The 14,585-nt window shown below is 35.0% G+C and overlaps 1 protein-coding gene across 6 annotated transcripts in view; it reads right to left on the bottom strand.

The window, feature by feature from the left end:
* The window catches only part of MARCHF1 (membrane associated ring-CH-type finger 1), an 859,722-nt gene that overhangs the window by 315,071 nt on the left and 530,066 nt on the right, over nt 1-14,585 (bottom strand). The window lies entirely within an intron of this gene.

The raw sequence follows: 14,585 nt of genomic DNA on the forward strand, positions 1-14,585 counted from the left end.
TAACCAAGAATATAAAAATATAGGTTCACATAAAAGCTTGCATTTTGAATGATCATAGCAGGATTATTCAGAATCGCCAAGAAGTGAAAACAACCCAAATCAACTGCTGGACAAATAATAAAATAGGTTGTATTCATACAACGAAATATTATTAACAACAAAATGAAGTTTTGACACATGCTACAACATGGATGAACCTCAAAAACATGCTAAATAAAAGATGTCAGTCACAAAAGACTACATATTGCATGATTCAATTTATATGAGATGTCTAGATTAGACACATCTACAGAGACAAAGTGGATCATAGTTGCCTAGTTGGAGGAGGCAAATACTGGTTGGGAATGGAGGAAGGGCTGGTGAGTAACTGCTAATGCATACAAGTTTCTTTTGGGATGCTGAAAATGTTCCAGATTTAGATTATACCGATGATTGCAGAACTCTGTAAATATATTAAAACCACTGAAATGTGTGCTTTAAATGAATCAACTTAATGATATGTAAAATATATCTCACTTGAGCTGTAAAGAAAAAAAATGTACAATAGAGAAAATTGAAAAAGCCTAAAGTCTGTTCTTTGGAAAACATGGATCATACCTAGCAAGAAATATCACAAAAAAAGAGACTAAGCAAAATATCAATATTTGAACATAAAAGATGACATCACTGTAGATTTTATAGACATTAAGTGAACAATAGGACCCACTTTATGCTAATAAATTTGACAATCTAATTATCATTTGGATGAAACAGAGATGGCTCTGGAAAAACATGACATCACAATTGATACAGAAGTGAAATAAATTATGCCTTTTACATTTCTGAAATTCGTTGAAATCTTTATTCACTGTAATGGTTTTATTCCTTTTTGTATTTTTATACAATCCTTTTTTTGGAGGTCCCCAGGAAGGGAATGGGGCGTGTTCAATCTACCACTCTGAAAGGAAAGCAGACATTTGTGTCGAAAGGAAGTAGAAAAAGGCAGATGATTTGAATGAAACACTTTTACTTATTTATTTTTATAAATTCAACTTTTATTTGATTTGGGGGTCCATGTGCAAATTTGTTTCATGGGTATATTGTGTGATGCTGAAGTTTGGGGTACAACTGATCCCAGCACTCAGGTAGTGAGCATAGTACCCAATAGTTTAACCTGATTTGAAGAAAACGTCACTTTGTCCCTTGAAAACGAGAAGGCAGAATAAAAGTATGATCTCACTTACATATGGAATCTAAAAAGCAGAGTAGAATGGTGGTTCCCAGGGGCTGGAAGGTGGCGGAAAAGGAGAGATGCTCGTCAAAATACACAAAGATTCAGTAATCTAATGTAAGCATGGTGACTCTAGTTAATAATGTTGCAATGTATACTTGAAATTTGCTAAGAATTGACCTTAAGTGTTCTCACCCCTGACCCCCAACACAGAGATACATACTCATAACTATGTTAAGTAATGAATATGTTAATTAATTAATGATTTTGGTAATCATTTTACAATGTATGTGTATATAAAGACATCACGATATACAACTTAAATGGGCATATACAATTTTTACTTGGCAAATATGCATCAATAAATCTGGAAGAAAGCATTTTTATGAGCAATTTTTTAAAAAAAATCTCTGTACTGCATTTACCTTTGTATAGCAAACTCAACATATTATAGTAATTCAAAGATTAGCACACACTGTATTAAGATTAGGTAAAAGAATGTAATTCTTTCACTAATAAAATTAATACATGGGGACCAGGGAGGAGGCAGGGATGAAGAGGTGGAGCAGAGGATTTTTGGGGCAGTGAAACTGCTCTTTATGCTACTATCATGGTGGAAACATGCGATTATAAATTTGTCCAAACCCACAGAATGTACAAAACTAAGAGTGAACTCCAATATAAACAATAGACTTTGAGTGATTATGACATGCGAATGTAGGTTCATCAACTATAACAAATGGACCACTTTGGGGATGTTAACAGTTGGGGAGACTATGCTTGTGTAGGGGCTGGGGTATATGAAAAATCTCTATACCTTTTGCTCAGTATTGCTAAGAACATAAAATTGCTATATAAAATAGAGTCTATTTTTTTTAAAAAAAGAATACGAGCCAGTAGCAGTGGAGCCTAAATATAAGAAATTACAGAAAATATAGTTAATGATATGTTTCCAGGCTTTCATAATACAGTTATGCATATAGTTGCATTAATTTTTGAATTTATTCTCACATAGTCAGAGGCAGTAATAACATCAGCAATTTTATGCCCATTGGATAGTTCTAGTTTGTCTAATTTCCATAGGTGAAATTATTCAACCCATGAAAACAAGATAACCAGTTCTTGTTTGCAGTCTCATTGCAATATGTGTAATAAAGTTTGGTTGGTATGACAATGTGTCTGTGGAAGCTGACAATTCGGTAACTGCAGTGTGAAAAGCTATTTCATTTTTTATCTTTAAAGAATAACTGGATTGTTAAATTTTATTCCTGTAGGCTGCATCAAACACACAGAAACCAGGTGTCTAAGTTCTCATATCAGCATTTGAGTTGCTGGTTTCTTAATGTGGAATCACAAAGCTGTACTTATGGATTATTTCACCTAATAATTACAGTTGACAATTACTATGGTGATATAAAAATAATTTAACGGGCCATCAACTAAGAGGTGGCTTTTGGCTTTTAACCTAAGGAATTGGCTTCAAATGTTGAATACTTTCCTGAATGACATTATGCTAAAAAGTTAAAACAAATTAAGCCTAAAAAAGAGAATCTATTAAACAACCTTACCTCTTCCTCCAGAAATGTAGTGGATAATTATTTGTACCCATGAGGATAATCAGCCAGCCATATCATGTATATGTGGTATCTACCTATCTATCCAATCTTAATGTGTCACCTTGGGCGAGATGTTTAACCAAAATTCTAGATTCCCATCTGTGAAATGGGGAATACAGTATCTACATTAGAGGCCTATTTTGAGAATCATGTATCTCTAAGATATATATGTATATATAAATATTAGAGAATATTACATATATATGTAAAATAAGTGTTTAGTAATGGTTAGTTAAATATGAATTTAAATTAAGCTTATTTTTTAATGAAGTCAATATTTGTATCTTTACCTGAGCATATTTTTTTGCAGTATAGAAGAGTGTCTTAGAGCATGGATCCTAAAATTTGATTTACTTACAGGGTAAACTTTGACAAATTACTTGCCGTTTTCCTCTACAAAATGAGGAGTTTGTACACTTCTTATAATGCTGTGGTGGGGATTAAATGAGTTGTTAACGTGTCAGGTGCTCATGGCACGTAGTATGTATTCAATAAATGTTAGCAATATTTGCTTTTATCATGTTATTTTTCTACCCTGTGTTTTGTAAAGTGAGTGAATACAAATACACTTACATGTCTTTGTTTCATTCCCAAAGAATTTGTTTGACACATGCTCCTCTTCACTGTTTACTGGGAATACCCATTGTTTTCTGTTTTTTATCCCCTCTCTCTTAACTTTTATTTCAGGTTCAGGGGATGCATGTGCGGTGTGTTACATGGGTAAATTGTGTGTCGTTGATGCGTGGTGTAAGAATGATCCCCTCACCCAGTTAGTGAGTACAGGGTGCAATAGGTAGTTTTTCAACCTATGTCCCCCTGCCCTCCTCCCTCTTCAAGTAGTCCCCGGTGTTTATTGCTTCCCCTCTTTGTGTCCACGTGTATTCAGTGTTTAGCTGCTGCTTATATGTGTGAATATGCAGTATTTGGTTTTCTGTTCCTGTGTTAATTCACTAAGGATAATGGCCTCCAGTTGCATCCATGTTGCTGCAAAGGACATGATTTTATTCTTTTCTTGGCTGCATAGTATTTCATGGTGGAAATGTGCCATATTTTCGTTATTCAATACACCATTGATGGGTATCTAGGTTGATTCCCTGTCTTTGATATTGTGAATAGTGCTGCAATGAACATGCGAGTGCATGTGTTTTTTGGTAGTACACTTTATTTTTCTTTGGATATATACCTAGTAATGAGATTGCTGGGTTGAATGGCAGGTTTGTTTTAAGTCCTTTGAGGAATCTCCACACTGCTTACCACAGTGGCTAAACTAATGTAAGTTTCCACCAGCAGTGTATCTGTGCTCGCTTTTCTCTGCAACCTTGCCAACACCTGTTTTTTTTTTAATTATTATTTTTTAAGTTCCAGGGTACATGTGCAGGATGCGCAGGTTTGTTACATAGGTAAGCATGTGCCATGGTGGTTTGCTACATCTATCAACCCATCACTTAGGTATTAAGCCCAGCATGCTTTAGCTCCTTTCCCTAATTCTCTCCCCCTGCCACTTGCCCCCGACAGGACCCAGTGTGTGTTGTTCTTCTCCTTGTGTCCATGTGTTCTCATTGTTCAGCCCCTACTTATAAGTGAGAATATCTATTTTTTTTTTAACTTTTTAATAGTGGCCATTCTGGAGTGGTGTGAGATGGTATGTCATTGTGGTTTTGATTGGCATTTCTTTAATGATAAGTGACGATGAGTATTTTTCCATATGTTTGTTGGATGCCTGTATGTCTTCTTTTAAGAATTGTTCGCTCATGCCCCTTGCTCATTTTTTTTCAATTTGTTTTCTTTTTTAAAAAACTTTTAACTTCAGGGGTACAAGTACAGTTTTGTTACATAGCTACACTTGTATCATGAGGGTTTGTTGTACATATTATTTCATCACCCAAGTATTAAGCCTAGTACCCATCATTTTTCCTGATCCTCTCCCTACCCCAACCTTCCACTCTCTGAAAGGTCCCAGCATGTGTTCCCCGTTATACGTCCCTGTGTTCTCATCATTCAGCTCCCACTTACAAGTGAGAGCATGAGGTACGTGGTTTTCTGTTCCTGTGTTAGTTTTTGCCCATGTTTTAATGGTGTTCTTTGTTTTCTGTTTGTGAATTAAGTTTTTTATAGATTCTGGATATTAGACTTTTGTTGGATGCATAGCTTGTAAATGTTTTCTCCCATCCTATATGTTGTCTGTTTATTCTGTTGATAGTTTCTTTTGCTGTGCAGAGTTCTTTAATTTAATTTGCTCCCACTGAACAATTTTTGTTTTTGTTGCAACTGCTTTTTGGGACTTAGTTATAAATTATTTGCCAAGGCCGATGTGACTACGTTAATGAGGATAAGGATTGTGTCTTTAAAAAAAACCAAACTGCATATTTGTTGCATAGTATAGTGTTTGGCACATAAATGATTCAATATAGAGTAGCCAGGTAAATTAATGAAGATATTTTCCAACTGGGTGATTACTGTGATTGAAATATTTCTGAATGAGAATATAGCCAATCATTCATTTTCTCTGTGATTCATTTATTCCTATTTTGTTCCATGATAACAGACAGCTATGGAGCCCAAACCTGCAACTTAGCAATGTACAATGCCGAATACTAAACAATTCATTAATTAGACAGTGCAATCTGTAATGGACCTGGTGGTTGATAATGGACTTAAGAAGCTTGTGTGTTGCAGATGGAGAATCAGCAGAGTAATTGTGCCAGGTTAAGAACCATCATGCTATATCATGTAACTGTCTATCAACTATTTACATGAAGAAAATATTCTGTATGAAGCAGCATAAAGGACTGGGAAGATATAGGACTCTGGGTTCCTGTTCCACCACTTTTCTAATCTTTCTGGACCTTAATTTCTCTCTCTGTATAAGGAGAAGAGTTATTACCTACTTTCAGAGTTACTGAGCACTTTTAGAGTAAACATCCAAAATCTTTGGCTTGGAAAAAGCATTACAATATTATGATTGTATTATTAATTATTGTGCCTTGATATATACATTTCTTTGAGAACTATAATTTATTTATTTCACTTGTCTTTTACATGGAAACAGCTCTGGAATATAGTCCTATTCTAACAGGTCCCATTTATTTCCAGTTACAATTTTTATTCTGAGGCAAAACCAAGCTGACTCAACAAAGACAAGGCTAATCTGTCCTGCCTGCTCCATTTTTACAAAACATAAAAACATTCTCACAAAACCAAAGACAAAGAAGAAACCTTTGGCATCTTTGTTATCTGTGAATGGGGAGAGACAATGCACCTCAGTTACACACACACACACACACACACACACACACACACACACACACACGTAAGGCCTCTCCTATTTGAGTACCCACCCACTGATCCTCTGAAAATGAAATTAAGATCTTAAAAAACTAAAGTGTTCTAAACACTATACACACATAGCAGAATTAAACAACCCATAAGAATTAAACATCTTTCGGAGGAACTCACAACTTCATTTATATCTAAGTTAAGCACACAGACATGACACATTTTGATAAAGAGCAGCTGTGAACATGATCTCATGACTTTACTCCGTAGAGGAAACGATTTATTCATGTAAGGAGCATTTTTAGATCAATTATTACTATTGTGAATAACCATGTTTTGACATTGTTCAGTAACTATACAATTAAAGTTAATACGATACTTTAAGCTGCACAGCTAATGTAATTTTTTCCTCATGGTGTGAAGTTTAAAGCATCAGTCTCCCCTTCGCATTCTTCAATTCAATCTGTTTCCATAACAACCATTGGGACATATTTTTAATGATTTTACTTTCTTACAAAAATCAAAGTTCTTTAAAAGCATCACGTCTTTTGCTTAATTTCTCTCATTTGTTTGTGATGGTTATTCTAATAAAAATTTAGATTTCATTCACCATTACCTTTGGCAGTACTTAGTAAAGGCTTTGTAATAGCAATTGGAAACAATAACTGATACATGATTGAATAAGAAAGAATTAAAAGGAGGGAGAAAAATGAGGAACCGCAACTGAAAACTCTATCTGCTCTGACTTGATTTATTTTCAGAATGCATTAAGGCCACTGTATAATAAACTGGCCCACTTGCTCAGAGACTAAAAGAAATAAGGGTGAGTCTGTTAGAAATAATGCAATAGGTTTACTGAGAAATTTAATATACTCAACCTCCTCTTTCTGTTTACCATTTATTTGGGTTCCAACAGAGGCTATGTTTGCGGGGCAATTCTGGTCCATTTGCTGTAGGTGGATGTATGATTTCCTTTAACCTTGTAATAGACTAAAAGTAGAAGATGGGAATAACTCGGAAGAGAGTGAGGAGGATGTCACTGGTAAATATTAACTGGTAAATTTGGTTTCTTTGTAAGGACAAATTTACATTTCATTGTCATATGCATTGGGGAAACTATCTGCAATATTCTAGATTCTTACTGAAGGCAGAATATTAGTATAACAGAAGTAATTTTGTAATCATTTTAGTTTCTGAAACTTTTACAATGTATTTTGATCACAGAAACCATCTCAGACTTGTTTGATCTTTAAGATTAGTTCTTCCATATTTTAAGGCATATGGCATTTCTAACAAGCAGAAAAGGTTTAATATACAAGATATTGTGCTTAATAGAGCTTTATAAGAAAAACACAATCTTACTTTTGCTCAGTTCATTTGCTCTGCTCAAGGAATATAATAAAAACTTAATAAAATTTGTGGAATGCATAAACAGCTTGAGCAGAGCACAATGGACTGAGTGAAAGCCAGATTGTTTTCTGTATGATATCCAGAGAATGGCAGTGTTTATGAAATAACAAAGAATGGGATTCTAGAAGAAAAAAAATCTCAAGTCCAGGGGCTGCTTTCATCCGTACTATTGAAATACCCAAGTGGGCTGGTTTAGCTTCAAACAAAGGATAATTGAATGGCCTATGAGTAACAAGAACTAGAACAAATAAGGTGATAATGATAAGATTCCTCAATTAAAACATAAAATTCATTTACATACTTCTAAAAGTCAAAAGAAAAGTATATAATTTTCATTCTTGATCTTTCGTTTTGTAAGTTTGAAACTTTAACTTTTAATACATCTACTCTACTTTGAAAACAAAAGATTATGACAAAATTAAATGATTATTTTTAGCTGCTTGTTTTATTAATACTTAGGCTGTGTAAGAAGGTATTTGGTTCAGTAGCTGAAAATTTGACTTGCAAAACATGTATTATCAGTAAATTTGTTTTATTTCTAGAGATTGTTTATGTTAAATTAGAAAAATCTTGGCATTTAAAATCTGACAGAACCCAAGCTCACCAATGCTCCCTTCTTACCTGCTACTACCTTTTTTTTTCATTTGATCTTTTCGAATTACAGTTTGCTTTTTTTTTTTTTTTTTTTTTTTTTTTTTTTTTTTTTTTTTTTTTTTTTGAGATGGAGTCCCACTCTGTCACCCAGGCTGGAGTGCAGTGGTGAGATCTTGGCTTACTGCAACCTCCGCCTCCTGGGTTCAAGCGATTCACCTGCCTCAGTCTCCCAAGTAGCTGGGATTACAGGTGGCTGCCACCAGGCCTGGCTAACTTTTTGTATTTTATTAGAGACAGGATTTCACCATGTTGGCCAGGCTAGTCTCGAACTCCAGGCGTCAAGCGATCCTCCTGCCTCAGCCTCCCAAAATGCTGGGATTACAGGCATGAGCCACTGCACCCGGCTGAGTTAGTCTTTCCACTAGTGTTGTGCAAACAACAGTATCAACTTCTTATAATGCGTGTTGTGTATAAATAACCTAAAAATTAGAAGACCTAAATTCTTATGATTTGGAGTGTAATGCCTAAACTCTTAACAGTCCTATTTTATTATCTGTTTGAATAATGAAATCTGCATTGTGTGCATCTGAGTAAAATGGGTTGTAGCTGTAATGAAATGATGGACATAAAGACTGCTTTGAAAAGTTGTATATGTCTGATTACAAATCATTTTTCATTTTAATTTCATGTATGAGTATTACATACTTCTCCTTGAGAGTTTCTTATCTAGTTTCTCCTCTTTAATTTTTTTCTAGAGCAACAAGCATCTCATCCTGGAATATAATACACAGGCAAGAAAGTGTGCTCTGAGCTGATGAACATATGTTTGAAAGTGGCAAGTCACCTCTATCAAACACATAGAGTGACACTTTGTTCTTTTTTTCTTTGTAACTCCAGTCTATTTGGAGCCTCAAAAAATCATAATTGATTATAGGAGTGTAATTTTCTCTAGAGTCATTGCTGATCATCTAAAATGACATTTTTTTAATCTTCTTGTTTTGACTTCCATGGATTTTTCAACTCTAATCCTCATAAAATCTTTCACCTTCTTACTTCGGATTCTTATGATCTCCTTTGCTCTCATTTTAAATTTAATATTGAAACTCTTATTTGATTCAGTAAATTCCTTAAGGGTATAGTCGGTATAAGATGTTTTTGTTTTTAATGAGTAAAATTGTGTTACACTAAATTTAAAAGAGAGGTTTCTCCCCTGGCTGTCATACAAGAGGAGGCCACTTCCCGCCCTTAGGTTACAATTGTGAGGATATGTGCTTAATAAGCATAATCTTCCAAACCCCTCAAGGTTATTATTCATTATGAAAGATTTTCAGCTCAATAAATATATTCCGAATTTAAAACACAGGTAGTATAAATTGCTCTACAGATTAAAAAAGGAAAAAATAACTACTCTTTTCAATCAGGTCAGTTATGGAGAATTCTATACATAAAACGGCGGTGAGACTGGCTATAAGTCAGTCAATGCAGAGCAGAAAATAATTCAGTAGATATGTATAATCTTGGATTATAAAGGAAAGATCCTATTTGTCTTTATGCCACAGTGCAATGAATTATTATCTCATTTATAATCTTTGTGTTTAGTCAAATATGTACAATCCAAATAATGACTGTGTTCTTCCCCTTAACCTGAGAAAGACGTGATAGAGTGGCCCTCTAGATTGAGACTGATTGGACTGTTGGAATCCCAGTTTCACAAGTTATTACCTAAGTCACCTTGGACAGGTTTTTAAATTTCTCTATACCTCAGATTCTTTATTTATGAAATGGGGGTAATTATCACACTTGCCAAACTGGATTGTAGTAAGTATTAAAAATGAGAATATTTGTAAAACACTTAGAAAAGTTCTTGGAACATAATAATCAGCCACCATCATTATTATCATCATCTTTAGATGGGTATAATTTGTACTGGAAAGCCTCAACTGATATGGGTGACAGCAAAATAGTAATAATAAAAGCATGGGTATATACAATGGAAATGTAGGATAAGCAGGCTACTTACCAAAGAAGGAATGCATTTGTGATAGAGGCTGGCTAAACGCTTTCAATTTCCCTATTCAGGTTATATAAGAAGATTGTATGTTTCATCATTCCTACAGATCCATTAGTCTATGTCACTGGTTTCCAGCCAAAGGTATCAGGGTAGAAGTGATGCATATCACTTCCAAACCTAAACCATATATCTCCATGATTACCCACTCCCATTCTTTCTCTTCTCTGATAAATTCAAAAGCCATATTTATAATATAATAGCAGCAGGAGAACTCTGCATTTTTTTTGTTTTTGGTTGGAGTGTCAAATTATCTGTATCAGAGTGACTGGTGAGCAAAAGCAAACCTTTATCATGTTAAGTCTGAAATGTCTGAGTTTATTTATTAAGGCTCCTATCCTTAACTTTCTATACTGATTACTAAGTTATTACCTCTCGGCCCTAAACCCATTTTTCTATATTCTACCTCAAGATCCTAAAGCTGGGAGCCTTCAAACCAGATTTCTTCTTTGCCACTAACTTTTTGGTTGGGTTCTGCCAATGGTAGTCCTGAAGGCAACTAGAGGTCGGGAGGAGAAAGGACTCATTCTTGTTTATCCTGTTTCTGTCAGTGTCATTCCAGGAATGCTTCTTTAGATCAGCAGTGGACGTTGGGTCCAGTTTCTAAGCTTATTTCACACTTGCTGAACTATCTTTATTGCACCACCACCACCCCAGATGTATAAAAATAGAGAAGTGCACCCCCTTCAGGGGTCTGGGTCCTAGATCCACAGGATCCCACCTCTGAACCCCTGAGGTATCTGTATCTGGGGAGATGTACTCCTCCTCAGAGGCCCGAGGCACAGTTTTGAGGGGCTTGTCCTCTAGCCTTTCAGGTTCTAACAATTCCAGCCTCCTCCCTCTGTTACTCTTCTGTATGAGTGGTTTTTACTTCTTCAGACATTAAAGTTGTGAACCTTTTTGACATTTTAGCTTTCCAATACCAGATTAAATACTTTTGCATATTATATTCTGTTTGTTAAAACTGCTGGTTTTCTTTCTGTTTTCCTGACTGTACTCCAATTTTTATGCTACTGAAATACAGAAATTTGAAGCCAAAGCCTATGCTACCATAGCAAAAATCTAAAATATACAGCATTTCTTTAATAGCTGGGCAATGGGCAGAAAGGAAACTGATTTCAAAGGTAGAAAGCCTTCTAGTTGCATAATGTTTTGTCAAAACTCTTGGCAAAACTGCTGTTTGAATTAACTAGAGAGGCACTGAGTCTGCTGGGCTGGCAATACTCAAAAGAGATTGGAAAACAAAACTTTAATAGTGTGTGTTGACTATTACTGGCTACGTTTGGCAGGGTATTACAAGAGAAACATTGAGCGGCTAGTGTGAAGGCAGATACGTAGAGAAACAGAATACAGAAGTTTCCAGGACTTATTGAGCAAAATGGCTGGCTTCTTCTAAAGCCCAAATGGTGGAACATGACATTGATGAAGGCATTGAACAACAAAGGTCCAGTGAAAAGTTCCATTTGTGTAACAGACTCAAGGCAAACCCTGCTAAGATCTCAGGGAATTGTACTAAAACCCCATGATTCCGGAATATAACACTTAAATGTTTAAAACTTAAAATAACTCTAGGTCCCATTATCTTCCCCAAACAGGAAAAAAAAATTAAGGTAATATAGTTCTCAATAGGCACTTCAAACATGGTTAAGTAGAATAACGGAAAAAGAGAAACATCTGAGAAGTCATTTCCAGAGGCTAGAGGGAACTATGGACAAGGAAGATATCCCAGAGAGGTGGTCAGAGCTTATTCAAAGATCCTCTCTGACCTCTAGATTGGGAGACTTTATAATGTCTTTCCAGCAGGATTGTGCCTGTGATTGACATGTGTACCTGATTCTTTCTCTATCCAAGAATCATGGTTTATTGTGGATTCCCTTTTCCTATGCTTCTCTTTTATATTGGGTGTGTGGGAAGTGGATTGCAAAATGCAGGTAATTTGTTCATGGGTGATTCATTTTCATCGTTTGATGAGGACAATGGCTAACCAGAGATCACGGATTTGTGCTGAAATTAGTGACTGAAAGAATTTGAGTTGTCACTCGTGAAGAGTAATAATCTCTTTTCTGGAGATAATGGAACATGACATGAATATCTGGTGACCAGTAAAATGGACTGTGGCAGAGATGGGCTAGATGCCCACTAATTCCATCTCCTTTTCCTGGCCACATAGAAAGGCCTCCCTTGCAACTCAGTTGGGCCTGAAATGGAAGGACGTCCTTGCATACAAGGTTGCTCCATAATGGCCCATGCTCGATGTTCCACACAATCTCTTCCATTTCCCCTGTGGCCATGTGCTTACAAAGGCAGCATCAAAAGATGGAAGGAGTCTGGATTTTTAAATCATGATTTGGCAGTGAACCTCCAAGGAGAGCTGGCCAACACACATCAGCCCATAACACAAGGAAGAAATCTCTTATTTTATATGTTAAGAAACTGAGATTTGGGGGTTTTATGTTAAAGTGTATAGAGGTTATCCCTGTAATACAGCATTAGATTTAATTACTGGATTTAATTCCATTGGTAACTTGATATCTTTTTCTTTATATTAAAATTATTTAAATGTGAAGAAAATGTCATCAAGAAATTGAGATTATGAGGTGTAGTAGAAAAAGCATTGTTTTGAGAAGTCCCATTCCTAGTAACCCTTTTATTATTTACTAGATAAGTGGCACTAGGAATGTCAATTAATTTTCCTGGGCCATGGTGCAAGCTGTAAAATGAAGATGTCATTAGGTTTATTATTAGGTTACCCAATTATAGGCAGAAAGCCAGTCCAAAAATTTGCTCACAGTTTTTATGGTTTTTGATCTGCGATTCCATGAGATAGGAGTTAAGCACTAAAGCACAGAAGCAGTAATTTTTTCTTACTTAAAAATGCTTGGTTATAGTATGATACCTGACAAAGTGCAGCTGTACGCATAAATATTATGTAATACAATGTTTTAGTAGTGTTAACTCATGCCCCACAGTTTTGTGCTATCCAAGTGTAACACATAAGTCATTTTAGAGTGAGACGAGATAATGCAGATGACAATTTCAAAAGGAAACCATTCCCTAAAACTTTGAATACCCAGTAGTTTTGCACATATCTCTCCATACCTTCAGCCCTCCCCTTACAATCTAAGGGTGGGATTTAAGCAAGATCCTCACTTCTCTTTCTATGTTTTATCAAGTGAAAGCCTATTCTTTCAGATGATTTCTCTTAATATCAACTCACTAAGGTTAATTCAAGGTCGCTATTTCTATGTAACTGCTAAGGTCTGAATATTTGTATCCTCCCAAAATTCATGTCAAAATCCTAACCCCCAAGGTGATGGTATTAGGAGGTGGAGCCTTTGGGAGGTGATTAGGTCATGAGAGTGGGGCCCTCATAAATGGTATTAGTGCCATTATAGAAGAAGCCTGAGGGAGCTTGTTTGCCCCTTCCAACATGTAGGGACACAGTGAGAAGGCACCATCTATGAATCAGAAAAGCAGGCCCTCACCAGACACCAAAACAGCCAGCACCTTAATCTTGGACTCCAGACTTTAGAACTGTGAGAAATAAATTTTTGTTTTTTATAAGTTACCAGTTTATGGTATTTTGTAATAGCAGCCCAAACATACTAAGATAGTCAAATAATAGACATTGTAAAATAAAACAAAATGAACAGTAAAAAATACCCTAAATGATTCTTTGTTCATATTTACTTATATGTTCAACTGCTAATAAATCAGGCTAATCAAAACACTTTCATTCTTGTAAAAAGGTAAAACAATCATTAAAATATATCTAATATTAGTTTAAAACTTGGAAACCGAATGGAATTTTCCTCCTTTAAATTAAAATGAAGAATGTTACAGCCAAATCGAAACAAAGAACATTTAAAATTCCTTTTGCTAATGAGTGCTTTGTCCTAATCCCTGGAAAATGATAGCTAGTTAAAGCTCAGCATTTAAACTTATCGCAGAAAACAAAACATGAAGGAGCACATTCTTGAATTGGTCTTCAAAATATTTTTGCAATTGTGTAATTCACAATTTGTTGTGAAAATTATAATTTTTGATTCTATTACTGAGACATTTTTAGAAAAAATATAGAAAAATACAGAAAGTAGGATTCTGATTTTCTTTAAATCATCTTTAGATGACTCTGTACTTACTTTTCTTCCAAAGGTTTCATTACGCAGTATAGAATCCAAGAACATAAACTTTAATTTAAATATTTTTAAGGTCACTAACATAATAAATGGATGATGTCCAAACTAACAAAAAGAGAAACAGTTGTTTAATTGGAATTAAACTCTAATATTATATGTCACTAAGGTATTTTTATTAGTTTACTAACTAACCAAATCTATATGAATATATTATATAATACAAATGCAAATACTGTTGTAAACAACGATAACATTTACTTATAAGGTCATCC

The sequence above is a fragment of the Homo sapiens genome, chromosome 4 (assembly GCF_000001405.40).
Source record: "Homo sapiens chromosome 4, GRCh38.p14 Primary Assembly".
Taxonomy (NCBI): Eukaryota; Metazoa; Chordata; class Mammalia; order Primates; family Hominidae; genus Homo; species Homo sapiens.